The 26268-nt window shown below is 41.2% G+C and overlaps 1 long non-coding RNA gene and 1 pseudogene across 1 annotated transcript; one reads left to right on the top strand and one right to left on the bottom strand.

The window, feature by feature from the left end:
* Positions 1–4021: 4021 nt before the first annotated feature.
* LOC105371847 (uncharacterized) lies at positions 4022–24765 on the bottom strand. Its single transcript, XR_934889.2, has 3 exons — positions 24480–24765; positions 23634–23818; positions 4022–4051 (listed from the first exon to the last, which is right to left on the bottom strand). It is a non-coding gene; the product is annotated as an uncharacterized LOC105371847 (long non-coding RNA).
* RNU4-13P (RNA, U4 small nuclear 13, pseudogene) lies at positions 17057–17200 on the top strand (annotated as a pseudogene).
* Positions 24766–26268: the final 1503 nt, after the last annotated feature.

Below are 26268 nucleotides of genomic sequence, written 5' to 3'. Positions count from 1 at the left end.
ATGTGTGTGGGAAGGGTTGCTTATTATCTTACTGAGTTTTGAGAGTTCTTTATGCATTTTGAATACTAGTCCTTTGTCAGATATATGCTTTGCAAATACTTTGGCCTAGTCTATGTCTTGTCTTTTAATTTTCTTAATTGTGTCTTTCAAAAAGTTCTTAATTTTGATAAAGTTCAATTTACCAATTTTTTTCCTTTTATAAATTGTGCTTTTGGTGTGGTATCTTAGAAATCTTTGCCTAATCCAATGTCACAAAGATGTTTTCATATATTTTCTTATTTATTCCTTTATTTATTTTTAATTTTTCTTTTTTTGAGACAAGATCTCTCTCTGTCTTCCAGGCTGGAATGCAGTGGCACGATCACACAATGAAGCCTCGAACTTCTGGGCTCAGTGAACCTCCCACTTCAGCCTCCTGAGAAATTGGACTACAGGCATGTGCCACCATGCTTGGCTAATTTTTTTAAAATTATTATTATTTTATTATACTTTAAGTTCTAGGGTACATGTGCACAACGTGCAAGTTTGTTACATATGTATACATGTGCCATGTTGGTGTGCTGCACCCATTAACTCATCATTTACATTAGGTATATCTCCTAATGCTATCCCTCCCCTCTTGCTTGGCTAATTTTTGTACTTTTTTTTGTAGAGACTGTTTATTTTTTTCACATTGCCTAGGCTGGTCTCAAACTCCTGGGCTCAATGGATCTTCCCACCTCAGCCTCGAAGTGATGAGATTACAGGCATTAGTCGCTGCACCTGGCCAATGTTTTCTTCAAGTATTTTTATAGTTATAGAATCTTACATTGAGATTTGCAATGCATGTTTAGTTGAGTTGATGTTTTTACATGGCACAAGGTATGGGTCAAGGTATACACACACACATACATACACACACCTATATACACACACACACACACACACACACAATTGTTCTAGCACCATTTTTTTCCATAAGTGAAAATTTTAGCCAAGGAAGGGACTTACACTCTTTTTTTTTTTTTTGAGATGGAGTCTCACTCTGTCGCCCAGGCTGGAGTGCAGTGGCATGATCTCTGCTCACTGCAAGCTCCACCTCCCAGGTTCACACCATTCTCCTGCCTCAGCCTCCCAAGTAGCTGGGACTACAGGCGCCTGCCACCACGCCCGGCTAATTTTTTTGTATTTTTTTAGTAGAGATGGGGTTTCACCATATTAGCCAGGATGGTCTTGATCTCCTGACCTCATGATCCACCCACTTCGGCCTCCCAAAGTGCTGGGATTACAGGCATGAGCCACCGTGCCGGGCCAGAAGGGACTTATACTCTTAAAATTTACAATTAAAATCTGAAATAGGTCTTGTCTGAGAGTTTCTTCAACTTTTTTTGGTTGATTTTTTTTTTTACTTTATTTTCCAAACATTACACCCTATTTAAAAGGAACAATTTGTATGATGTTGGTTCTTTTTTTTTTTTCAAGGCAGAGCCTCACTCTATCACCCAGGCTGGAGTGCAGTGATACCATCTCAGCTCACTGCAACCTCTGCCTCCTGGGTGTTAAGCAATTCTTTCTGCCTCAGCCTCCCAAGTAGCTGGGATTACAGGCACCCGCCACCATCTCCAGCTAATTTTTGTATTTTTAACAGAGATGGGGTTTGACCATGTTGGCCAGGCTGGTCTTGAACTCCTGACCTCAGGTGATCCACCTGCCTTGGCCTCCCAAAGTGCTGGGATTACAGGCGTGAGCCACTGCACCTGGCCATGTCTTGGTTTTTATCCCTTTCATTTTATTCCATTAGAAGTATCAGGATTTTAAGACATTTTCAAATGACACTGTCTATCTCTGCACTATCTAGAATAATGCAATTTTAAACTATAGAGACTGCCATCCCCACTTTGTAGAGATGAAGAAACCAAGACTTTAAGATCTTCAATGACTTGCCCAAGGTCATACAGCATAGAGGCAGAGCAAAGTCTAGGGTACAGCTTCCCAAATCTCTAGGCCATTGCTTTTTCCGCCAACTGTTTATGGGCTTCATATTGATGTTTCACTAACTTTATTTCTATGTATTAAATATAGACAATTGCTTCAATAGTAGGCTTTTATCTAAAATTTCATTTTTGGTGCTTCCCTTCTAGTACATAAAGTTCAATAAAGCAAAATTAAACAGAATTCTTACAAGATACCTCTAAGGTTTACCCAATGCCACTGGGTTTACAATCTCATTATAAAGTAAGCACACACACAAAAAGGAAACAGTCTAGACACTAGGGATTACCAAAATGCTGACATTTTAATTCATAATTCTAAGACTTTGCACAGATGCATAATTTTTACTTTACATATTAAGTTAGCTATACCTCTTCATTTAATTGTAAATTAGACAGAAATTTTACCTTTTTTGCTGCATGGGACTACAAGCAGTCTGGTGAGTTAAATCTGGATGATCCAGTCTCATCTGATGCAACAAAAATATAGATATGCTTGATAAAATATAAGAATCTTCAGATGCCAGAAATGAAGAGGGAATGCAAATTCCCGAGAAAATGCAAAGCTATTCTGTGGGTACAGTATCCTGTGAGGAAATGGAGGATGGGATGGGAAGCCTCAATAGATGTCTAAAAGGAGTTCCAGAGTAATGGAAAATGTCTATTTGAATAGGAAAGAAGTAATATTTGAGTAGATAATCACTGAGCCCCAGACAGGAAAAATTAAAAACCATATACACCTGACCAAAATGAAACATGGACCACGCTGGAAAGAGAGAAATTCTTTTTTTTTTTTTTTTTGAGACGGAGTCTCGCTCTGTCGCCCAGGCTGGAGTACAGTGGCGTGATCTCGGCTCACGGCAAGCTCTGCCTCCCTGGTTCAGGCTATTCTCCTGCCTCAGCCTCCTGAGTAGCTGGGACTGACTACAGGTGCCCGCCACCAAGCCCGGCTAATTTTTTTTTTTTTTTTTTTTAGACGGAGTCTCGCTCTGTGGCCCAGGCTGGGCGACAGAGTGAGACTCCGTCTCAAAAAGCAAAAAACAAACAAACAAAAAATTTCCTACGAAGGAACAATAACACATTATCAGCAGATTTCTCAACAAAAATGGAAAAGACAATACAATGATGGGCATCTCCACATTGTTAAGCGAAAATAATCAAGAAGTCTGTACTCAAACTAACATTCAAGAGAGAATTCAAGATATTTTCTGACAAATACTAAAATAATATATAGTAACAAGTCATTGCTTTAAAAAATACACTCAAATATTCCCAGCACTTTGGGAGGCCGAGGCGGGCGGATCACGAGGTCAGGAGATCGAAACCATCCTGGCTAACACGGTGAAACCCCGTCTCTACTAAAAATACAAAAAAATTAGCCAGGCTTAGTGGTGGGCGCCTGTAGTCTCAGCTACTCGGGAGGCTGAGGCAGGAGAATGGCGTGAACCCGGGAGGCGGAGCTTGCAGTGAGCCGAGATCGCGCCACTGTACTCCAGCCTGGGCGGCAGAGCGAGACTCTGTCTCAAAAAAAAAAAAAACACAAATATACACTTAAAATGAAAGAAAGTAAACTGGTGGTCAGCCCTGCTGCACCAGGCCCACTCTGCCTGCGAAAGAAAGAAAGAGAGAGAGAGAGAGAGAGAGAGAGAGGAGAGAGAGAGAGGGAGAGAGAGAGAGAGAGAAAGAAAAGAAATTAAACCCAGGAGAAAGGACCCGCTGTAAGTACTAATGGTGAACAGAGAAGTTAGTAAAAATACTGGTAAATCTATATTAATATTAACTGTTAAAAAGCAATAATAGACCAGGCACAATGGCTCATGCCTGTAATCTCAACACTTTGGGAGCCCAAGGCAGGAGGATTGCTTGAGGCCAGGAGTTAAGAGACCAGTCTGGGCAACATAGCAAGATCCAGCTCTACAAAAAAAAATTTTTTTTTTAATTAGTGCCATGTGGTGGTACATACCTGTGGTCCCAGCTACTCAGGAGGCTGAGGTGAGAGGACTGCTCAAGCCCAGGAAGTCAAGGCTGCAGTGAGCTGTGATTATGCTACTGCAGTCCAGTGTGGGTGACAGAGAGAGACCCTGTGTCAAAATAAAACAAAATAAAAGCAATAATAATAAATACTCAGGCCAGGCACGGTGGTTCACATCTGTAATCCCTATACTTTGGGAGGCTGAGGCGGGCAGATCACTTGAGGTCAGGAGTCCGAGACCAGCCTGGCCAACAAGGTGAAACCCTGTCCTACCAAAAATACAAAAATTAGCCGGGCATGGTGGCGTGCACCTGTAATCCCAGCTACTCGGGAGGCTGAGGCAGGAGAATTGCTTGAGCCCGGGAGGTAGAGGTTGCAGTGAGCTGAGATCACACCACTGCACTCCAGCCTGAGCAACAAGAGCGAGACTCCGTCTCAAAAATAAATAAATAAAAAATAAAACAAAAATAAAAATAAATAAATTAATACTCTAAGTTGAGAGGGTTTTTGAAAAGGTGAAACCAAATTACTATAATAACAGGAAGAATGGGAGGAATAAAGTTTCTCAGATTGTATACTGTTCAAAAGAGGCTGACAGTATCTTAGACCAAGTTGAGCCATGCATGTTACAAATTTAAGAGTAAACATTGATTCAGTAAAAGGAAGTGATATTGTTCTTATAAATAAAAAAAGCAAAAGTAAGTTCTTGTTAATTTTACCACTGTGAAGAAAATATACTTGGTAACTGTGAACTTGCCACCAAAGGTAAAGTATACAAGGAAAAATGGATAAAACAAACTTAAAAAAATTTTAAGCTTCTATGTAATTACAATGAGGAAAAGATTGATTTCAAAATTGTGTAAGCCTGTAAGAAAACAACATGCTTTGTTTACTGATACATTTTTCTATATCACATAAAGCTTTACGTTATAAACCTGAAACCCCACTTTTTTATCAGAGAAACTCCTTTTTAATCGATAATAAGTAAAGGTTAATTTTTTTAACATAACTTTCAAGTCAGTAAGGGTGAAAAATAAATCAGTAACTCAATAGAAGGTAGGAAAGTATAAAAAAAGTAAATACATGGTAGATAAAAAACATTAAATAAAAAACAATAGAAATAAATTACTTTTGCAACTTTTCTGATATAATAGAGAACTTATTTCTACTATGTAAATAACTTAGTCAGAGATATGTGAAGGAGTGAAGAATGTGCCATCCCAAAATATTCCGGATTGGTATAGTAATTATTTGAAATTGAAAACAGTTGAGAAATTGTAATTTCATGCAGCAAGAGATACAGATGCCTCTGGGAGGGGCACCCTCTGCATACCAGAGCGAGCAAACCCTTATCACCAGAGACTTAGAATTGGAGGCTGCAGGCCAGGCGGGGTGGCTCACGACTGTAATCCCAGCACTTTGGGAGGTACAGGCGGGCAGATTGCCTGAGGTCAGGAGTTCAAGACCAGCCTGGCCAACATGATGAAACCCCGTCTCTAAAATACAAAAATTAACCGGGCGTGGTGGTGGGCGCCTGTAGTCCCAGCTACTTGGAAGGCTAAGGCAGGAGAATCACTTGAACCTTGGAGGAGGATGTTACAGTGAGTGAGATCGCACCACTGCACTCCAGCCTGGGGTGCAGAGTGAGACTCCATTTCAAAAAAAAAAAAAAAAAAAGAATTGGAGGCTGCAATGGATCGAATAAATGTACTTGACGAAGTAACCCTTTTCTTCCACCTGTTTTACATCCTCCATACATGTCCGAGTGACTCCCCTAGAAAATTTACTGCCCCTGGCCAGATACTCTTTGTTCTGTCATTTCTTTTCAAATGTAACATTTTTTGTCTAAAAATACAAAAGCATCTTGCTTTGGCTACTTATTCAGACTTCATGCTCTTGTGAATACCCCCATGTACATGTAGAACTAATACAATTTGTTTGCTTTTCCCTTGTTAATCTGCCTGGTGTCAATTTGGTTTCTAGATCTAGCTGAAGAGGCCACTAAGAGCAAAAGGGGGTTGATCTCTGGCTCCCCTAAACATGCACTCTGGTATAGAGACAAATTTGATCCTGAGACCCCCACATAGATCTGAGGCCCTTCCTCTCCTTGCCACCCTAGGTCACAAATCCCTCTGTACAGCTAGACATTATTTTGAACAGAAGCAGAGGGAAGCAGGAAGAAATGTGAAAGATTCTGGATTTAACCAAAAGAAAATTTGTTATTCAAAAGTGACTATTTATTTATTTATTTATTTATATTTTTTGAGACAGGGTCTCAGTCACTCAGGCTGGAGTGCAGTGGCACAATCATAGCTCACTACAGCCTCAAACTCCTGGACTCAAGAAATCCTCCTGCTTTGGCCTCCTGAATAGCTGGGACTACAGGTATGCACTGCCACACCCAGCTAATTTTTAAATTTTTTCTAGAAACGGGGTCTCGCTATGTTTCCCAGGCTGGTCTTGAACTCCTGGCCTCAAGCCATTTTCCTTCCTTGGTCTCCCAAAGCACTGGGATTAAATAGAGAAGTAAGCCACCATGCAGGGCCAAAATAAACTATTTAAACTAAAAAAAGATTGTTGCCTGGAATGACAAGTTTAACGTTTGGTTGGTTTTTTTCCTCTTATTATAGAGCAAGGTGGAAGCTTGCAAGGAAAAATTAGGTCCATGATAGAAATTAAAAAGGAGTATTTTCTTTGCATGTATTGGAATTATAATGTGGGTAAATGTTTGACCCCACTATAAACATTTTTGTAGGATTATTTTTCCACACTGTGTTTTTTCTCCTGGTGTTAATATTTTTCTGCGATTTGCATGCATTACCCCTTTTTAAATTAATTGTAGTCCCCATTGCATTGACCAAGGCGCCACCAAAGCGCCTTGTCAGTCTGGAAATGGCAGGTGTAAAGCATAAAGCAAGGGGCAGAAAGGGTAAGAATAGACCCAGTTCTTTGCAATCACAAGAAAGTGCTCACCCAGCCATTCTGCCCTTTTTAATTTGTTCCTTTCCTCGGATCTAAATGCACTGACAATTAGGACTATAGAAAACCATATGCATCGTGACCATCATTACTCACCGCCCTGACCATTCCCCTGGGTAACACAGAACATTTAATAGGCCTGTCCCAGCATCTGATAACAAAGGAAAAACATATGGCAGATCACGATAATGATTTTGTGTCTTTCTGTAATGATGAAAGAAAAACCTGATCCTGCATAATAATCGCTTTGTTATTCATAGAAGTTAAACGGCATTTCCTCATGAATTTTAATGTGCCATCCATTTTCTCACTACTTATCCCCACAATTCTTTGTGAGCCTTTGCAGAACATTATTCTCTTATCTCTTTCTTTCTTACAGTGATGTAATTATTCTGTCTAAACCATAAGACTTCAGGATGTTGTCTTTTTACTGCATTGGTCACACAGTGCTGGTCTAGGTTGCCATAAATAATCTGAAAAGATCAAGCTGTGCACTTAGGATTTCTGCACTTTTGTTTCCTGTATGTATGTTACTTAATTTTAAAGAGTTTACTTTTTAAAAATTATCTGGAAATCCTGTAATCATAAATTTGTGCCTTTTAAAATAAATTATAATTAATTAGTGGCACTCATGAATCTTTTGTTTACTATTCTAAAAGTTCAGGAACCATTTACAATATTTTTTCTTCCTTATTCTTCTTTAGTGGGCATAATTCATATTGAAATTCAGTCCCATATTATGTGTAGACAGAGTAATCTCAAAATTACATACGACTAGACTAGATTTTTAGCTATTTAAGGACATAAACTGAGTCTTACTTATCTTTGTATTCTATGAAGTATCTATCTAGCTCAAGGACTTCTAAGTAGAAGGCCCTCATACCGGGCATGTAAAGGCGTGAGCCAGCACTTTGGGAGGCCGATGGGGGCGAATCACGAGGTCAGGAGATCGAGACCATCCTGGCTAGCACGGTGAAACCCTATCTCTACTAAAAAATACAAAAAATTAGCCAGGCGTGGTGGCGGGCGCCTGTAGTCCCAGCTGCTCAGGAGGCTGAGGCTGGACAATGGCGTGAACCCGGGAGGCGGAGCTTGCAGAGAGCAGAGATCGCGCCACTGCACTCCAGCCTGGGCGACAGAGTGAGACTCCGTCTCAAAAAAAACAAACAAAAATGGAAGGCCCTCATAAATATTTGCTTATAAAGTAAAAAGTATCTTTTGCAGAAAACAAATCAGTGGTTGCCAGGGGCTGAGGGTAGAAGGGGAAAATTGCTTTCAAAGAGGTACAAGGGAACTTTTTACAGTGAGAGAAATATTCTACATATTGATTGTGATGCTGATTACGGTGTGCATTTGTCAAAAATTATACACTGAAAATTGGTGAATTTAATTACATGTAAGTTATATTTAATTATATGTAATTATAATTAATTTATACCTTAATAAAGCTGATTAAGGAAAAGATCTTGTGATGACATCATCATTTCCTTATGGGAAATAACTAACAACAAATGCTATTAACAAATAACTACCACATTCTTTACATGAACAAATAACCTGGTTTCAGATCAAGCCTTTAAAAATGCTTAATTTCTTGATTGAATGACCAACAATTTATTAAATATTACCATGTATCTGGTCCTGTACTAGATTATTTATTTATTTATTTTATTATTTATTTTTTGAGACAGGGTCTCACTCTGTCACCCAGGCTGGAGTGCAGGCTGGATCTCAGCTCACTGCATCCTCAACCTTCCAGGCTCAAGCATCCTCCTGCCTCAGCCTCCTGAGTAGCTGGGACTACAGACACATACCACCAGGCCCAGCTAACTTTTGTATTTTTTGTAGAGACTGGGTTTCACCATGTTGCCCAGGCTGGTCTCAAACTCTTTGTTCAAGTGATCTGCCCACCTCGGCCTCCCAAAATGCTGGGATTATAGGCATGAGCCACCACACCCGGTTCTCTTTTCTTGTACCAATAAATGCTGTCAAATGATTATTATTTCTGATTTTTACAGGAATAACAATTTTACACTTAGGCTCTGAGAGGTTAGGTAAACTTGTCTGAGTCCAGATATTTTATTTTTTAAAAAATCAGCTGGGCATGGTGGCTCACGTCTGTAATCTCAGCATTTTGGGAGGCCGAGGAGGGCGGATCATCTGAGGTCGGGAGTTCAAGACCAACCTGACCAACATGGAAAAACTCCATCTCTACTAAAAATACAAAATTAGCTGGGCATGGTGTTGCATGCCTGTAATCCCAGCTATTCGGGAGGCTGAGGCAAGAGAATTGCTTGAACCCTGGAGGTGCAGGTTGTGGTGAGCTGAAATCATGCCATTGCACTCTAGCCTGGGCAACAAGAGTGAAACTCTGTCTAAATTTAAATTCAACAAATAAGTATTTACTTTGTGACAGGACTGTACTAGATATTTCAAGAACTATAATGCTAAAAATATATAGACTTTGCTTTCAAAACATATACCACATTAGTCAGGCACCATGGCACATGCCTGTAGTCCCAGCTACTTGGCAGGCTAAGGCAGGAGGATCCCTTGAGCCCAGGAGTTCGAGACCAGCCTGGGCAACATAGCAACAGAGCAACATAGCCTCTGCCTCTTAAAAGAAAAATCATATGCCATATTAAATGGATATGAGATGTGCAAATAAATAGCAATAATACCAGACAGAGTGTAGGGCTAGAATAAGACTAGAAGTAATTTTGGGCAGGGTGCAGTGGCTCACATCTGTAATCCCAGCCCTTTGGGAAGCAGAGGTAGGCAGATGTTTTTTTTTTTTTTAGACGGAGTCTCACTCTGTTGCCCAGGCTGGAGTGCAGTGGTGCAATCTCAGCTCACTGCAAACTCTGCTCCTGGGTTCATGCCATTCTCCTGCCTCAGCCTCCTGAGTAGCTGGGACTACAGGTGTCCACCACCACTCCTGGCCAATTTTTTTTTTTTTTTTTTTTTTGTATTTTTAGTAGAAACGGGGTTTCACCATGTTAGCAGAGGCAGACAGATCTCTTGAGGCCAGGAGTTCAAGACCAGTCTGGGCAACATAGACCTCGTCTCTATTAAAAAAACAAAAAGAAAAAAAGAAGTAATTTTGCATTCAAGAAGGAGGAAGTACCTTCAACTTTGGCTAAATTGACTAACCAGCCACAAAGAATAATTTAGGAGACATTCAGGCTTAGATGTTTTTGTGACAAAAAAAAAAAGAAGAAGAAAGGCAAAAACTTTTCTCCTTCTCTTCTCTATTTATTTATTCTCAATTCAAAGCGAATCTGACAAACAACCTATGAGTATATGTGGCTAAAGTAGATGCTATTTCATAGACTTCTACACTGATACCTCCCTCATTCTGATCTCTGCTTAAGTTTCCTTCCCAGAGAAGCCTTTCCTGATGATGCTACCTAAAAGAGTGTCTCATCACTCTCTATGCTCTCTTCTTTATTTTTCTTCTAATCATTGATTACTATTTGATATTATATTGTTTTTTTTTTTCGAGACGGAATCTCTTTTTGTCACCCAGGCTGGAGTGCGGTAGCACGATCTCAGCTCACTGCAATCTCTGCCTCCCGGGTTCCAGCAATTCTCCTGCCTCAGCCTCCCGAGCAGCTGGGATTACAGGTGCGTGCCACCACGCCTGGCTAATTTTTGTATTTTTAGTAGAGATGGGGTTTCGACATGTTGACCAAGCTGGTCTCGAACTTCTGACCTCAAGTGATCTGCCCGCTTTGGCCTCCCAAAGTGCTGGGATTACAGGCGTGAGCCACCGTGCCCGACCAATATTGAGTATTTTTGTATTTATCATTTGTCTCCCCACATTGTTTTTAAGCTCCTTTCAGAAGGATCCATATGTCTTGTTCACTGTTGTGTCTCTAGCACTTAGATTAATACTTGGCATTCTGTTGAATGAATGAATGAATTTGACAAAAGGGTCTTTCTGACTACAACAACTCATCTCCAACTATTCCAGTCTTCACTTGAAGTTCTACCAGTTTTTCATTTTACGGTTATTTGACTTTTGCTACAGATTAATATCTTAACTATATTGAAGTAGAAATATACAGTTTTGAATCAAGGCACATGAAAGAAGATTTGAACCCTAAGACATGCCTGTGGTTTCATGTAATCTTTTGAAAGTGAGTTGTTTCAGAATACTTCCCTCTTCTCTAGGCTCTAGCTTGGGTTACCCGGAAAACAGAACCTAAAAAAACGCTCATAGAGCTCATTTTTATTGTATGTGGGGAGAGGGAGGAAGATGAGTACCATCCTAGAGAAGGAGGAATCGGGGCTACAGCTTCTCAAAGAAACACAACTGGTTGCCTGATCAAATGAGAACATCTCTGGAATGGCTGTATGGGTCTCAATAATCTGTTGGAGGACACAGAAGAAGAATAAATAATTCATCTCCCATGAGTCGTTACCTGACTTCTCCAAGAAGCCACTGGGGAAGCCAGAGCCTGCATACGTTCAGTCATGAGAAAGTAGGTTCCGGAAACTGCTGCTGCAGCCCAGTCCTCACCACCAAGAGGTTGCCTCTCCCTATTCCCTTGGTTATAAAACCCTGGACTCAGCTACCATCTCCTAATACCCCTCTGGCAAGGAAGAAAGCCAAGTGACCGAGATCCTGAGAGGAAGACAGAGCCAAGCAGATCAAGGAGGGCATTTTTTGTTTGTTGCATTTTTTGTTTGTTTGTTTTCAGACGGAGTCTCACTCTGTCGCCCAGGCTGGGTTGCAGTGACTGCAATTTCTGCCTCCCGGGTTTAAACAATTCTGCCTCAGCCTCCCGGGTAGCTGGGACTACAGGCACAGTGCCGCCATGCCTGGCTAATTTTTGTATTTTTAGTAGAGATGGGGTTTCGCCATGTTGGCCAGGATGGTCCTAACCTTGTGATCCACCCACCTCCGCCTCCCAAAGAGCTGGGATTACAGGCGTGAGCCACCGTGCTCTGCCAAGGAGGGCATTTATAAACACATCCCCTCCCCAGAAATTATTCAGGGAAATTATTTCTAGCAACCAAAGCCCAGGCACATGTGTGACATATGGATACATGTAGATTGTCTCCAAGTGCTCACTCTTCGGTGGTATTTTTAGTATAAATTCCCTAATTCTACATCTTGTTTGTTCTAAATGCCTACATTCTCTTCCAAAGTAGTAATGTTTGTTTTTGTTTTTTAACTTTGAGAATTTTGTTCAGCAATTTGAAATGATGAAAAACCCTGTGCATGGTAAAGTTATGCTTGAATATCCTTTCTTATATCAATTTGGCATCATTAATTCATTCAACAAATATTTAATGAGCACCTACTATATTTTAGATTCTATACTAACTGCTAATACTACTACTGCGAATAAAACAGACAGACATTCCTGGATCCCTGAAGCATACATTTTAGTGAAGGGAATCACAATAAACAATGTAAACAAAATATGTGTATTATGTTGGATGATTATAAGTGCCAGGAAAAAAAATAAAGAATGGTGATTTTCTTTTTGATTCAGTGATCTTTTGAATACACAATCTACGAAAGCCTTCAGGGAGAGAGGAAGAAGATGTAAATGGGGCATTTAGACAATGAAGTGTTCAGTAGGATTAGAACTCTGAGTTAGGCCTGTGACCAGGGAGTAAGGAAGTAGCATGGAAGATGTAGAGCATCGTGGCGTCTCTGTACAGGACACAACTTTTCATAACTTTCTCCAAGGAAGTAATAGGCAAGACACATGACACAGAGCAATGTATCTGTGTGAGATACAATTGCTATTAACTCAGCTTTACTCCACAAACAGATTATAGAAAGTACATACTACAGAGAGCTGGATTCTATCAGTTATACAGAAGGAAAATATACATTTTTTTCTATATAACTGATGAAGCCGCCTGATAACTCTAAGTTACTCTTCATGCTTACAACATGAGGTGTAAAGCTACAGAACTGGAGTTCTGTACTGGAGTGAGATACTGAGAAGCAACACTTAATTCTCCAAGATTTCTTGAAGTATGTGCTGCACCAAGTTTTATGTTCCTTCTCTACAAATACTAGAAACTGAGCTATCATTTCCAAGCAGGGCACCTGAAATGCCCTTAACCATGAGAAGAACTTGGAGAACCTACAAACGACCCATATCGTTGGTGACCAAGAGAGCTGAGGGGAAGAATTCTCATATGGTAAATATCAGGTTGCTCTCTTAGGTGGAGATGAAGGACTTTTCAGAGAATCAGACAGCAGATGTCAGTCATTGATGACCTGTTTGATGTGGACACCTAGAAATGAATATCTTCAAATAAGGCATCATGTAAGCTGAACAGGTATTTGATTCCAGAATGGTAGAGCTGAATGGTCTTAACCAAACTGGATGATCAATTCTCATGATGCCAGGGCTCAGAGTAAAGTATGGAGTTCCAGAAGCCAAAAAGTACAAATATTAAAGCTTACTCTCTTAGACCACTGGGTAGATAATTCATTTCCCAATGAAGGATCTCATTTGTTCATGTATTCAAATAATCATAAGTGCTTACAAATTACCTGTGCCAGGTACTTTGCTAGCTGTTGGAAAGACAAAGGTGAGCAAAAATTAACGTGTATCTTGCCCTTACAGAGTTTATAGTTATAACTATAATTCTAACAAAGGCCATTAAGGAAAGCTTGAGACGGTGCTGTGGCTCATGCCTATAATCGTAGCACTTTGGGAAGCCGGGTCAGGGGAATCGCTTGACTTCAGGAGTTTGAGACCAGCCTGAGCAACATAATGAGACTTCTCTACAAAAAAATTTTAAAAAATTATCCAGGCATGGGGTGCATGCCCGTAGTCCCAGCTACTCAGGAGGCTGAGGTGTGAGGATTGCTGGAGCCCAGGAGATCAAGGCAGCAGTGGGCCATGATTACACCACTGAACTCCAACCTGGGCAACAGAGCAAGACCCTGTCTCAAAAAAAAAAAAAAAAAAAAGATAGAGAGAGAGACTAAGGATTCAAGGTTTTTTTTAAAGTCATTAGTAATTTTGATTTTTATTCAAAGATCAGTTGCAAATCTATTACAGGTTTTTAAGTAGGAGATTTGAATTTTGAAATGATCACTCTGGCTGGGCGCGGTGGCTCACGCCTGTAATCCCAGCACTTTGGGAGGCCAAGGTGGGCGGATCACGAGGTCAGGAGATCGAGACCATCCTGGCTAAAACAGTGAAACCCCGTCTCTACTAAAAATACAAAAAATTAGGTGGGCGTGGTGGCAGGCGCCTGTAGTCCCAGCTACTCGGGAGGCTGAGACAGGAGAATGGTGTGAACCCAGGAGGCGGAGCTTCCAGTGAGCCGAGATCGCGCCACTGCACTCCAGCCTGGGCGACAGAGCGAGACTCTGCCTCAAAAAAAAAAAAAAAAAAAGAAAAAGAAAAGATCACTCTGGATGTTCATGGACAGAAGATTGTAGATGGATAGGAGGGGTTCAGAGACACCATTTAGAAGGCTGTTGCAGTAGTTTCAGGCAAGAGATAACAGTTGCTTTGACCAGGGAAGTAAGCCACTTACTTAGCAGAATTGCTTTTGAAGTGAACTTTGTAATCAGCATTGTTCTTCGGCCTCCATCTCTTTCCCACCATTCCCCCATTTACTTTGTGTTTGTTGTTGTTTTGTTTGTTTTTGAGGCTCCAGGCTGGAGTGCAGTGGCACGATCTTGGCTTACTGCAACCTCCGCTTCCCGTGTTCAAGTGGTTCTCGTGCCTCAGCCTCCTGAGTAGCTGGGACTACAGGCACATGCCACGCCCAGCTAATTTTTGTATTTTTAGTAGAGATGAGGATTCGCCATGTTCACCAGGCTGGTCTCAAACTCTCGGCCTCAAGTGATCCGCCAGCCTTGGCCTCCCAAAATGCTGGGATTACAGGCATGAGCCACCATGCCTGGCTCCCCATCTACTTTTAAAACTTGTTTACGGCTGGGCATGGAGGCTCACGCTGGTAATCCCAGCACTTTGGGAGGCCGAGATGGGGGGATCACCTGAGGTCAAGAGTTCAAGACCAGCCTGATCAACATAGTGAAAACCGTCTCTACTAAAAATACAAAATTAACTGGGCATGGCGGCACATGCCTGTAATCCCAGCTACTTGGGAGGCTGAAGCAGGAGAATCGCTTGAACCTGGGAGGTGGAGGTTGTAGTGAGCCGAGATCGCACCATTGAACGCCAGCCTGGGCAACAAGAGTGAAACTCCGTCTCAAAAAAACCCAACCAACCAACCAACCAAACAAACAAACCTGTTTACAAGGGCATCCAGCCCTTTCCTCTGTGAGGTCACAGCCCCCAAAACACAGATTATTAAAGGTTTTTAAATGTCTTTGTCTCCGTTTTTTACTGATTCCAATAGATGCTCTCTACAAGCATCCATGCATTCTATGAGGTCCTTTCAGGCTAATGTGAGTTCCTTGAACAGTACTTTATTGCTCTAAATAAAAAAATTGAGAGAATGTAACATAATATAGGATATTTCGTAAGAACTTAAATGGAAGGTGTTGCCCTCTTTTCTGAGAAACTCTTTAAGGAAAAATTCTGCTTTCTATTCAGTCATATAAACCACCTGCTTACTATGGACACTGTACGACTGTAAGAACTGAGGTTGCAATGGTTAAAAATAAAAATAAATGAAAAATTTAAAAAACAGCCCTTACTCTCACAGAGCTTATATTCTAGAATGGGAGGAAATTGTAATAAAATACATTAAGCACTATAAGATATGAAGTACAGGAGACTAAGGAGACAGGATAACTAAATGCAATATGCTATCCAGGATTAGATCCTAGAACAGAAAAGGGACATTAATGAAAAAAATTAGTGAAATCTGAATAAAGTCTGTAGTTAATAGTATCATAACTGTGTTCATAACTTAGTTTTGATCATGGTACCATGGTTATGTAACATGTTAACACTGGGGAAGCTGGATGAAGGGTACATGGGAACTCTGTGTACCATCTTTGTAGCTCTTCTTTAAATCTAAAATCATTTCAAAATTAAATATGTACTAGAAGAAGGAGAAGGGGAAGAAGACAGAAGAAGAACAAGAATAAGGAGAAAGAAGAAGGAAGAGGAGGAAAAAGAAAAAGAAAGGAAGGAAGAAGAAAGGGAAGAAGAAGAAGGAGGAGGAGGAGAAGGAGGAGAAGGAGGAGAAGGGGAAGAAAAAGGGGAAGAAGGGGAAGAAGAAGAGGAAGAAGAAGAAGAAGGAAGAAGGAAGAAGAAGAGGAAGAGGAAGAAGGAAGAAGGAAGAAGAAAGAAGAAAGAAGAAAGAAGAAGAAGAAGAAGAAGAAGAAGAAGAGGAAGAAGAAGAAGAAGAAAAATACAGGATGATTTGGGAGCTCCTAGCAGGGCACTCAGCCTAATCTGGGGGTGGGGGAGGCTTTCTGGGGAAGTGATGTTTAAGCTGAGACCTGAAGGACAAATAGAAATTAACCAGACAAGAGATATTGAAAAAGACATCCAGAAATAGTATGTAGAATGTTTACAGTGCCAGAAGCAAGAGAAAGCATGACAAATTGTAGATATTAAATAAAATTAAGTATGGCTAGAGCTTAGAATAGGGTGGGGAATGGGAAGGAGAGGAGTGGTAGAAGATAAACCCGGAGTGGTAGGACACCAAGTGCCTTAAAAATCATGTTGAGGAGTTTAGAGTCTAAGGACAATTTCAAGAAGAAATAAAAATGACTAATAAAATGTATATTTTAAAACCTTCTTTACTGGTAGTCAAATAAATGGAAATTAAAGTAATTGGATAATATTTTGACTTACTCATTTACCAAATATTTTAAAATTATAATATTCTTTGCCACCAAGAGTAAGAAAAGAGAATTTCTTACTTTCTGCTGATAATATTAATATTTCTGGAATGCTATCTGGCAATTTAAATACAAAGGTCCAACAATGTTCATATCCTTTTATCCCTTCAGTTTTATGTCTGGGATGTTATTTTAAGGAAATAGTCAGAAATCTATTTTTAATTAACGTAAAAAGATGTTTCTTATCATTATTTATAACAGTACACAATTTAAAACAAAATTTAAAAAATTTAAAATTTAAAACAAAATAGGGACATAGTTAAATAAATGATTATGTTTCCATATGATGAAATAGTATGTGTTAAAAATAACATTTACAGCTTTGTGCAGTGGCAGTATCGTAGCCAATGAGGTTTATCCGAGGTGCTATTACTGCTAATTGAAAACTTTTCCCAATACCCCGCCATAATGACTTGAAATATAGTTGGCATTCGCAATTTTTGACAGTCTCTATGGAGACTGAACAAAAAAAAGAAAAAAATAACATTTACAAAGAATTTTAATGACACAGATTATACATATAATGTACATATTATATATAATATATATCTTACATATATGTTATTATATATATAATTAGTATGTGCATCATCTGTAGACAGAACTGGCTGTGTAATTTGCAGGGCCCAGTGCAAATGAAAATGCAGTTCAAAATTATTAAGAATTTTAAGAAAGCAACAACAGAACCTCAAATCAAGTGTGGGACCCTTCTGAATAGGGGCCCTGCGTGACCGCACAGGTTGTACGCTCTTGTAACTGGCCCTGTCCCTAGAAAAAAAGATGAAAGGAAATATCCCAAAATGTCAGTAGGGATTATCTTTGGTTTGGGGATTACTGATGATTTTTATTTCATGAGTTTAAACAATTTTTCACAATAGACATATTTTATAATCAGAAAAAAAACCAGTATGCATCTTTTTTTTAAAAGCCCCAAGTTACACTAAAAGCAGCACTACAATGAATTACATTATATTTTGCTTTTAGGCTCTTTTAAATATCCCTTTTGGGCCACTGGGAATAACAAATTCTATTTTTAAAGTTTCTATATTGTGTTTTTAAGTCACTGTAGAGAATAGAGCAGGATATAAAAATGAAATCAGTTCTTTGCTAAGTTTAAAAAAAAAGCAAGCACAAGCTGAACTACAAATAACACATTTCCATCTATTTTTGTCCCATATAGAATTAGCTATTTGGTTGGACATTGAACATTTGCTTGAATGGTATAATGCTGAAAATTCCTTCTCTAGCATCCTTAGACCTATATTCATATAATTGGCAGCCCACACTGGCAAAAAGAAGGCCTGCAAGAAGTCTATTGCATCCTTGTCCAATGAAGAATTTAGCAATATATTTTTTATTTTAATTTTGATTTATTTGTTTTTGAAATGGGGTCTCACTCTTTCACCTATGCTGGAGTGCAGTGGAGTGATCTTGGCTCACTGTAACCTCTGCCTCCTGGGCTCAAGCGATTCTCCCACCTCAGCCTCCTGAGTAGCTGGAACTACAGGCGGCCGCCACCATGCCGGGCTAATTTTTGTATGTTTTTGTAGAGATGGAGTTTCACTATGTTGCCCAGGCTATTTTTTTTAATGAAGAAAGGTTGCATCTGGAAGGCGATAAAAGACCCCTTAAATGAGAGAGCATTAAGTGACTTAAAAAATCATACAGATGGGCTGAGCACAGTGGCTCACGCCTGTAATCTCAGCACTTTGGGAGGCCGAGGCAGGCAGATGACTTGAGGTCAGGAGTTCGAGACCAGCCTGGCCAACATGGCGAAATCCTGTCTCTATTAAAAATACAAAAATTAGCTTGGCGTGGTGGCGGGTGCCTGTAATCCCAGATACTAGGGAGTCTGAGGCAGGAGAATTGCTTGAACCCAGGGGGCAGAGGTTGCAGTGAGCCGAGATCGTGCCGCTGCACTCCAGGCTGGGCGACAACAGCAAGACGCCGCCTCAAAAAAAAAAAAAAAAAAAAAAAAAAGTCATACAGATGGTATCTGCAACGTGAGAAAGAAAGAAACTTTTTATCTGAGAAATGCAAGCCCCGCTTTAAATTATCAGGCCCAGAGCATTGAAATGTAACAAGAGTCACGCTTCACTCCCCCTTGAGCTAGGTAATCACTTCATGAAGCTACTTGCTATGTGGGCTCTAGATTTACTGACCCCAAGTAGCTATAAATAAACCTAACAATGCCATACTCTGGACACCATAACTCATACTCTATAGTTCAGCAATGTATATTGCCAATCGTTAATCAATATTATTTCTGTAAACCAATGAAAATTCCTCACAAGGTAGCAGTGAGCCGAGATTGCGCCACTGCACTCCAGTCTGGGAAACAGAGCAAGACTCTGTCTCCAAAAAATAAAAAATAAAAATAAAAATAAAAGAAAATTCCTCACAAACGACTTCTGTAATCACCCCCTCTCCTGATTCATTATTTTTTCTTTAAAAACGTAAGCCTCAGCCAGGCTCAGTGGCTTACTCCTGTAATCCCAGCACTTTGGGAGACTGAGGCGGGCGGATCAACTGAGGTTGGGAGTTCGAGACCACCTTGACCAACATGGAGAAACCCCGTCTCTACTAAAAATACAAAATTAGCCGGGTGTGGTGGCACAGGCCTGTAATCCCAGCTGCTCGGGAGGCTGAGGCAGGAGAATTACTTGAACCCAGGAGGTGGAGGTTGCGGTGAGCCAGAGATCGCGCCATTGCACTCCAGCCTGGGCAACAACAACGCAACTCCGTCTCAAAAAATAAATAAATAAATAAATTAAATTAAATTAAAATTAAAAAAATAAAAACGTAAGCCTCTCCTTTATTCTCTGGAGCACTTCCCAACATAACTAGGAAGTGTTTCCAGGCTGCAGTCCTCAACCTTGGCCCAAATAAACTATATTAATTTTGCCTCAGTTTCTTTCTTTAGGTAGACAAATGCATTCTTTTAGAAGTTACACAGAGAAGCCTTAACAAGTTGAGTTGTCAATTACATAACTAGCAAGTTTGGCACAAATGAAAGCCAAGGCAAATCATTTAATACTTTTAGTGCCCCTAAAGGACAATCTGTCTAATTACACAGGACTGTCCCTGCAGACCTCTTGAGTACAGGCTTCGTATTTTGGTATATGAGTACAGGCTTTGTATTTTGGTATCTGAGTACAGGCTTCATATTTTGGTATATGAGTACAGGCTTCATATTTTGGTGTATATATATATATATATATGTACACACACACATGCTTATAAATATATACATTTATAAGTTATACATATAAAACAAAACTATATATATCATTTTGTTTTGTTTTTTGAGACAGGGTCTTGCTCTGTCACCCTGGCTGGAGTGCAGTGGCACAACCAAGGTTCACTGTAGCTTCGACTAACTGAGCCCAGGTGATCCTCCCACCTCAGCCTCCCAAGTAGCTGGGACTACAAGCACACACCACCATGCCTGGCTATTTTTTTCTTTAATTTATTTTTTTGGAGAGACGGGGTTTTGCCATGTTGCCCAGGCTGGTCTCGAACTCCTGGGCTCAAGTGCTTCACCCACCTTGGCCTCCCAAAGTGCTGGGATTTCAGGGGTGAGCCACCACACCCAGCCTTTTTGGTATATTTTCTATTGTTTTGTGCTAAATGCACTACTGTTTTACGCACTCAATTAATCCTCTGCCCCACTTTGTGTAATCTCAGACAGAAGGAATATGAAAAAGAAAAAGAAAAATGATTATTTGTCATCCCTTCCTGTCTCCCATATTCTATTAATTGTGTATCCTGAAGAAAAGCTTTTCTTTAGAGTAGTTACTGGGGAGGTAGAGATGCAAACTGAAGAACCCAAAAGGGGGTCACTTGTTTCACTTCAGAAAAGGGAAGAGACCTACAGGGGAAGATAACAGGGAAAAAGAGGAAGAGGAAGAGAGGAAGTACGAGGGTCAAAGACCGGGGGGGAGGCTGAACAGATTTGACAGAAAGAAGAGAGAGGCCGGGCGTGGTGGCTCACACCTGTAATCCCAGCACTTTAGGAGGTTAAGGTGGGCAGATCACTTAAGTTCAGGAGTTCGAGACCAGCCTGGGCAACATGATGAAACCCCATCTGTACAACAAATACAAATTTAGCTGGGCATAGTGGTACGCATCTGTGCTCCCAGCTACTCAGGAGGCTGAGGTAGGAGGATCATTTGAGCCCAGGAGGCAGGGGTTGCAGTGAGCTGAGATTGTGCCACTGCACTCCAGGCTGGGTGACAGAGTGAGATTCCATCTCAAAAAAAAAAAAGAAAAAAAAAAAAAAAAAGAGAGGTGTGTGGCTCTCTCTCTCTAGGGAGAGAGAAATGCTTCAGGTAAGAATTGTTTGTTTGTGTGTTTGTTTTGAGATGGAGTTTCACTCTTGTTGCCCAGGCTGGAGTGCAGTGGCGCAACCTCGGCTCACTGCAATCTCCACCTCCAAGGTTCAAGCGATTCTCCTGCCTCAGTCTCCCGAGTAGCTGGGATTACAGGCATGTGCCACCACGCACAGCTAATTTTTTGTATTTTTAGTAGAGACGGGGTTTCTCCATATTGGTCAGGCTGGTCTCCAACTCCCGACCTCAGGTGATCCGCCTGCCTCGGCCTCCCAAAGAGCTGGTGTTACAGGCATTAGCCATCGCACCCAGCCTCAGGTAAAAATTTAAAAGGTGCTGGTAGTAGTGTATTTCATAACTTCCTCTTCTGTTTCCCTTGAAACCTTCAGTAAAAACATTACTCTCCAGTATTTTTGTAGTGGGATTTGCATTGTTTGGATGAGATGACATTTGAGAGGGGCCTTCCTAGGGAATCACAGAGTGCCGAGGAGGCTCAGGTACGTTCACATTACAGATCAGAGAGGGGAAAGGAAGGACTCCATTCTTTCATGTTTATTTGTCACAGACAAAGAGGAGATGCACACTCATTTGTGTTTAAATTCATCTAGTCTGCAAATGTGCACACATTTAAATTTCATTCATTCACTTATTACTCATCAGCTTAACAAATATCACTGCAGCTCCTACTGTTTGCCAGGTACTGTGCTAAGTTGTTCCTAGGGATAAACACCAAGTAATACAAACCTGCTTGCTGTCCTATTGTAGCTTACAGTTTAAAACTATATAGTCTAGTGTGAGGACAAGACCCAAAAGAAGTTATGAATAAATATAGTGTCTAAAGATACTATAATGTATGTTGTTGTTGTTATTTTTTAAAAAGCAAAACTGGCCGGGTGTGGTGGCTTACACCTGTAATCGCAGCACTTTGGGAGGCTGAGGCGGGTGGCACACCGGAGGTCAGGAGCCTGACCAACTTGGTGAAATCCCGTTTCTACTAAAAATACAAAAATCAGCCAGGCATGGCGGTGGGCGCCTGTAGTCCCAGCTACTTAGGAGGCTGAGGCAGGAGAATCGCGTGAACTCAGGAGGCAGAGGTTGCAGTGAGCTGAAACCGTGCCATTGCACTCCAGCCTGAGCAACAAGAATGAAACTCTGTCTCTCGGCCAGGCGCGGTGGCTCACGCCTGTAATCCCAGCACTTTGGGAGGCCGAGGCGGGCGGATCACGAGGCCAGGAGACCGAGACCATCCTGGCTAACGCGGTGAAACCCCATCTCCACTAAAAATACAAAAATTAGCTGGGCGTGGTGGCGGGCACCTGTAGTCCCAGCTACTTGAGAGGCTGAGGCAGGAGAATGGCATCAACCACCCAGGAGGCGGAGCTTGCAGTGAGCGAGACAGTGCCATTGCACTCCAGCCTGGACGACAGAGCGAGACTCCGTCTCAAAAAATATATATAAAAAAATTAAAAAAAGAATGAAACTTTGTCTCAAAAATAAATAAAAATTAAAAAATAAAAAAGCAAAACTTTTCAGATAATTTAGTTATAAGCAAATTGCAATGTTTTACTACAATCTGACTGCAAGGAAAAGGCCTCTAGCAGACCAATCCAAAGATTCACTCTTGGCAGAAATATTTTATAGGAAAACAGAAAGGTTAATCACTTTTAGATTAGATACAAAAGAATGTTTGTTTAAGGTCACTCTACTTAGTTAAATGGCCAGGTGATTGGTTTTCCCAGAACAAGTCGTAATTTAAAGTTCAGAAAAATTCCTTAAGTATTTTATCAGGAATGCAATTCTCTCCCCAGAAGGAGCTTGTGAATTATATTCCAAAAAATATTCCATCCCAGTCCACGTTTGGAACAATTTTTCTCCTATTGAATATTTTAAAATGTAGTTTTACAAGATGGTTCAATGTACTTATTCATCTCAATTTTTAGCAGCAAATACGTTTCATTTCCTTATGTCTGTCCATACTTAGAACATAGTAATTGTTCCTTTCAGTTGTGAAACAAACAAAGGGTTAAGTTGGAGAATCACAATGGAAGTCCTAGTTTAAATAGAACGGACTGGGAAGACCTCTCTGAAGGGGTAAATTTGAGTTGCAGAAGTCATATTTAAGTTGAGGTCTAAAGGGAGACAAAAAAAGCTACTCAAGTGAGATGATAAGGAAACACATTTCACAGGGAAACAGCTTTACAGAGGCCCTTAGGAAAGGAAAGTGACTTTGAAGATGGTATTACCTGAGGAGGCCAACACAGAAAGTTGAAATTGATGCAGAAAGTTCAGAGATGGGTTCTGATTGGTCCATTCTGATGGGTTTTCTCTTCAAAGCAACCCTTCGAGGTACAGTACTAAGAGTAGTATGGGAAGAACTAGGATGAGGTGCTATTACCAGAGAAAAGGGGATCAGAACCCAAGAAATGGGGAGGCAGAGGGAGTGACTCTCCTTAATATTTCCATATCCACAGACAAAAAGGAGACTTGTAGAAATAGACTCCCTGGGGGGTCCACACTGCACTATCCGTGCCTGCTCTTCCTTCAGGGAAAGATGAGTGACTTACCTGATTGCTGACATCAGGACAAGCCATTAGAAGCAGGAACCAGGAGCCATGCACTGAAAAGGGGGTTTGTTCTCTCACATATGCTTGCTATGCTATCTCTTCTGCAGTGCCAGGGTTTATGAAACAGATCTTGATCCTATGCACCACTGGCTTAAGGAGTGTCTTCCTGGCAGAGCCAACTTTTTCTAAAGATAGATTGGAAAGCCTGGATGTGAATAGAATTAGTGAAAGCCCTACTTCAGCTTTGGACTTAAGCCACATTGCTTCAACACAAGTTACAAGGAAACCCTCCCCAGATCTGCTTTCGGAGGGGTGGGATAGAGCTTGAAGGGAAAGAAAAAAGAAGAGCTTAGCCCTCAGACCTCTAACATGTGGATTTTGGTTAGATATGTGAATTTCCCTCCCTCCCTCCCTTCTCTCTCCCTCTTTCTTTCTTTCTTTGATGGACTCTCACTCTGTCGCCCAGGCTGGAGTTCAGTGATGATATCTTGGATCACTGCAACCTCTGACTCCCAGGTTAAAACAATTCTCCTGTCTCAGCCTCCCGAGTAGCTCAGACTACAGGTGCACCCCACCACACCTGGCTAATTTTTGTATTTTAAGTAGAGATGGGGTTTCACCATATTGGTCAGGCTGGTCTCGAACTACTGACCTCAGGTGATCCACCCACCTAGGCCTCCCAAAGTGCTGGGATTACAGATGTGAGCCACTGTGCCTGGCCAGATATGTGAATTTCTTGAAATACAGGGCTATATTAGTTGGGACTCTTCATTATAAGGACAAAAATTCAACTCAAAGTAGCTTAAGCAAAGCAAAAAAAAAAAAAAAAGTGGTTTATTGGCTCACCTACTGGGAAGGACAGGGTTGTATGTGTCATTATGACTTTCTGCCTCTTCTTTGTCATCTCTACTTGGCTTGGCTTCATTCCCTGATTACTTGGTGCCTTCAAGCTTTCTTCAGGGTGACTTTAAAGGTCGGGGAAGATAGCTCCAGTAGGCCCAGGCCTACATCATAGCCTAAGTACCTCAGCTTTTCTCTCCAAACATGTACACATCGAATCCTAGGGAAGATCTATGGATCAAATGGGTAAGAGTTAGTTCCCACATGGTAAGGGGCACTCAATTATCAAAATACGGGGACGAAAAGGGCTGGGCACTGTGGCTCACGCCTGTAATCCCAGCACTTTGGGAGGCCAAGACACGTGGATTATTTGAGGCCAGGAGTTCAAGACTAGCCTGGCCAACATGGTGAAACCCCATCTCTACTGAAAATACAAAATTAAGCCAAGCGTGTGGTGTGCGCCTGTAATCCCAGCTACTTGAGAGGCTGTGGCACAAGAATCAACCTGGGAGGCAGAGGTTGCAGTGAGCTGAGATCATGCCACTGCACTCCAGCCTGTGTGAGAGTGAGATTCTGTATCGAAAAAAAAAATGGTGATGGGGGGGTGGGGAGGAGGAAAAAGATGCTAAAGAGACAAAAATGACAAAATGTGGAATAATAAAGGAAGTTAAGTATAAATTGTCTTATGAGAGCAACACAAAAGATGTGTAAAAATTACACAATCCAGCTTGGCTTTACTCTCCCAGCATCCACTTAAAATACTCTGCCTAAAGAGTAATTTTTTTCATGAAATGAAACTCACGTTATTGAGAAAATGCAGCAGGATGGGAAATAATCTTGCTTTCCTCAGAGGTGTAGAGAAGGGCAAGAACTGGAAGAGAGTTCCTCCACCAAGGTAAAACAGGCATGGAAAGGGACAGCGATGGGCACAGGTGGGGTGGGGGGTAAATCTACCTTGGGCAGGTACAGCAAGAGACATTAGGTAACAGTCCAAGAAAAGTCAGTACCCACAGCCTGGGCAACATGGAGAAATCCTGTATCTACAAAAAATACAAAAACTAGCCGGGTGTGGTGGTGCAAGCCTGTGGTCCTAGCTACTCAGGAGGCTGAGGTGGGAGGATAACCTGAACCCAGGTAGGTCAAGGCTGCAGTGAGCTGAGATTGAGTCACTGCACTGCGGCCTGGGCAACAGAGCACGACTCTGGCAAAAAAAAAAAAAAAAGCCAGGATCAGTGGCTTATGCCTGTACGCCTGTATTCCCACCACTTTGGGAGGCCGAGGCAGGTGGATCCCCTGAGGTCAGGAGTTCGAGACCAGTCTGGCCAACATGGCAAAACCCCATCTCTACTAAAAATACAAAAATTAGCTGGGCATGGTGTTGCACGCCTGTAATCCCACCTACTCAGGAGGCTGAGGCAGGAGAATCGCTTGAACCTGGGAGGCAGAGGTTGCAGTGAACTGAGATCGCGCCACTGAACTCCAGCCTGGGTGACAGAGCAAGACACGGTCTCCAAAAAAAAGAAAAAGAAAAAGAAAAAAAAGAAAAGAAAAGAAAAAATAAAGAAAGAGGAAGGAAGGAAGAAAAGAAAAGTCAGTACCTGTCATCTCAATACAAAGAAGATGGAATGTCTCAGGTGGTAGATGTTAAGTGTTTCCCTGAATAGATCTCCAAATATGGAGAGTTATCTGTCAGATATTTAGGCTGAAGTTGTGGAGCACACCTTCTGTCCCTAGGTATGATAAGAATAGAGACTGATAAGAACAAGGCAGGCCTCCAGGTCTAAAGAAAGTGTGG

This window comes from Homo sapiens, chromosome 17 (assembly GCF_000001405.40).
Source record: "Homo sapiens chromosome 17, GRCh38.p14 Primary Assembly".
NCBI lineage: Eukaryota > Metazoa > Chordata > Mammalia > Primates > Hominidae > Homo > Homo sapiens.
The sequence above is the reverse complement of the archived record's forward strand: the minus strand, read 5'-3'. Positions and strand labels throughout refer to the sequence as shown.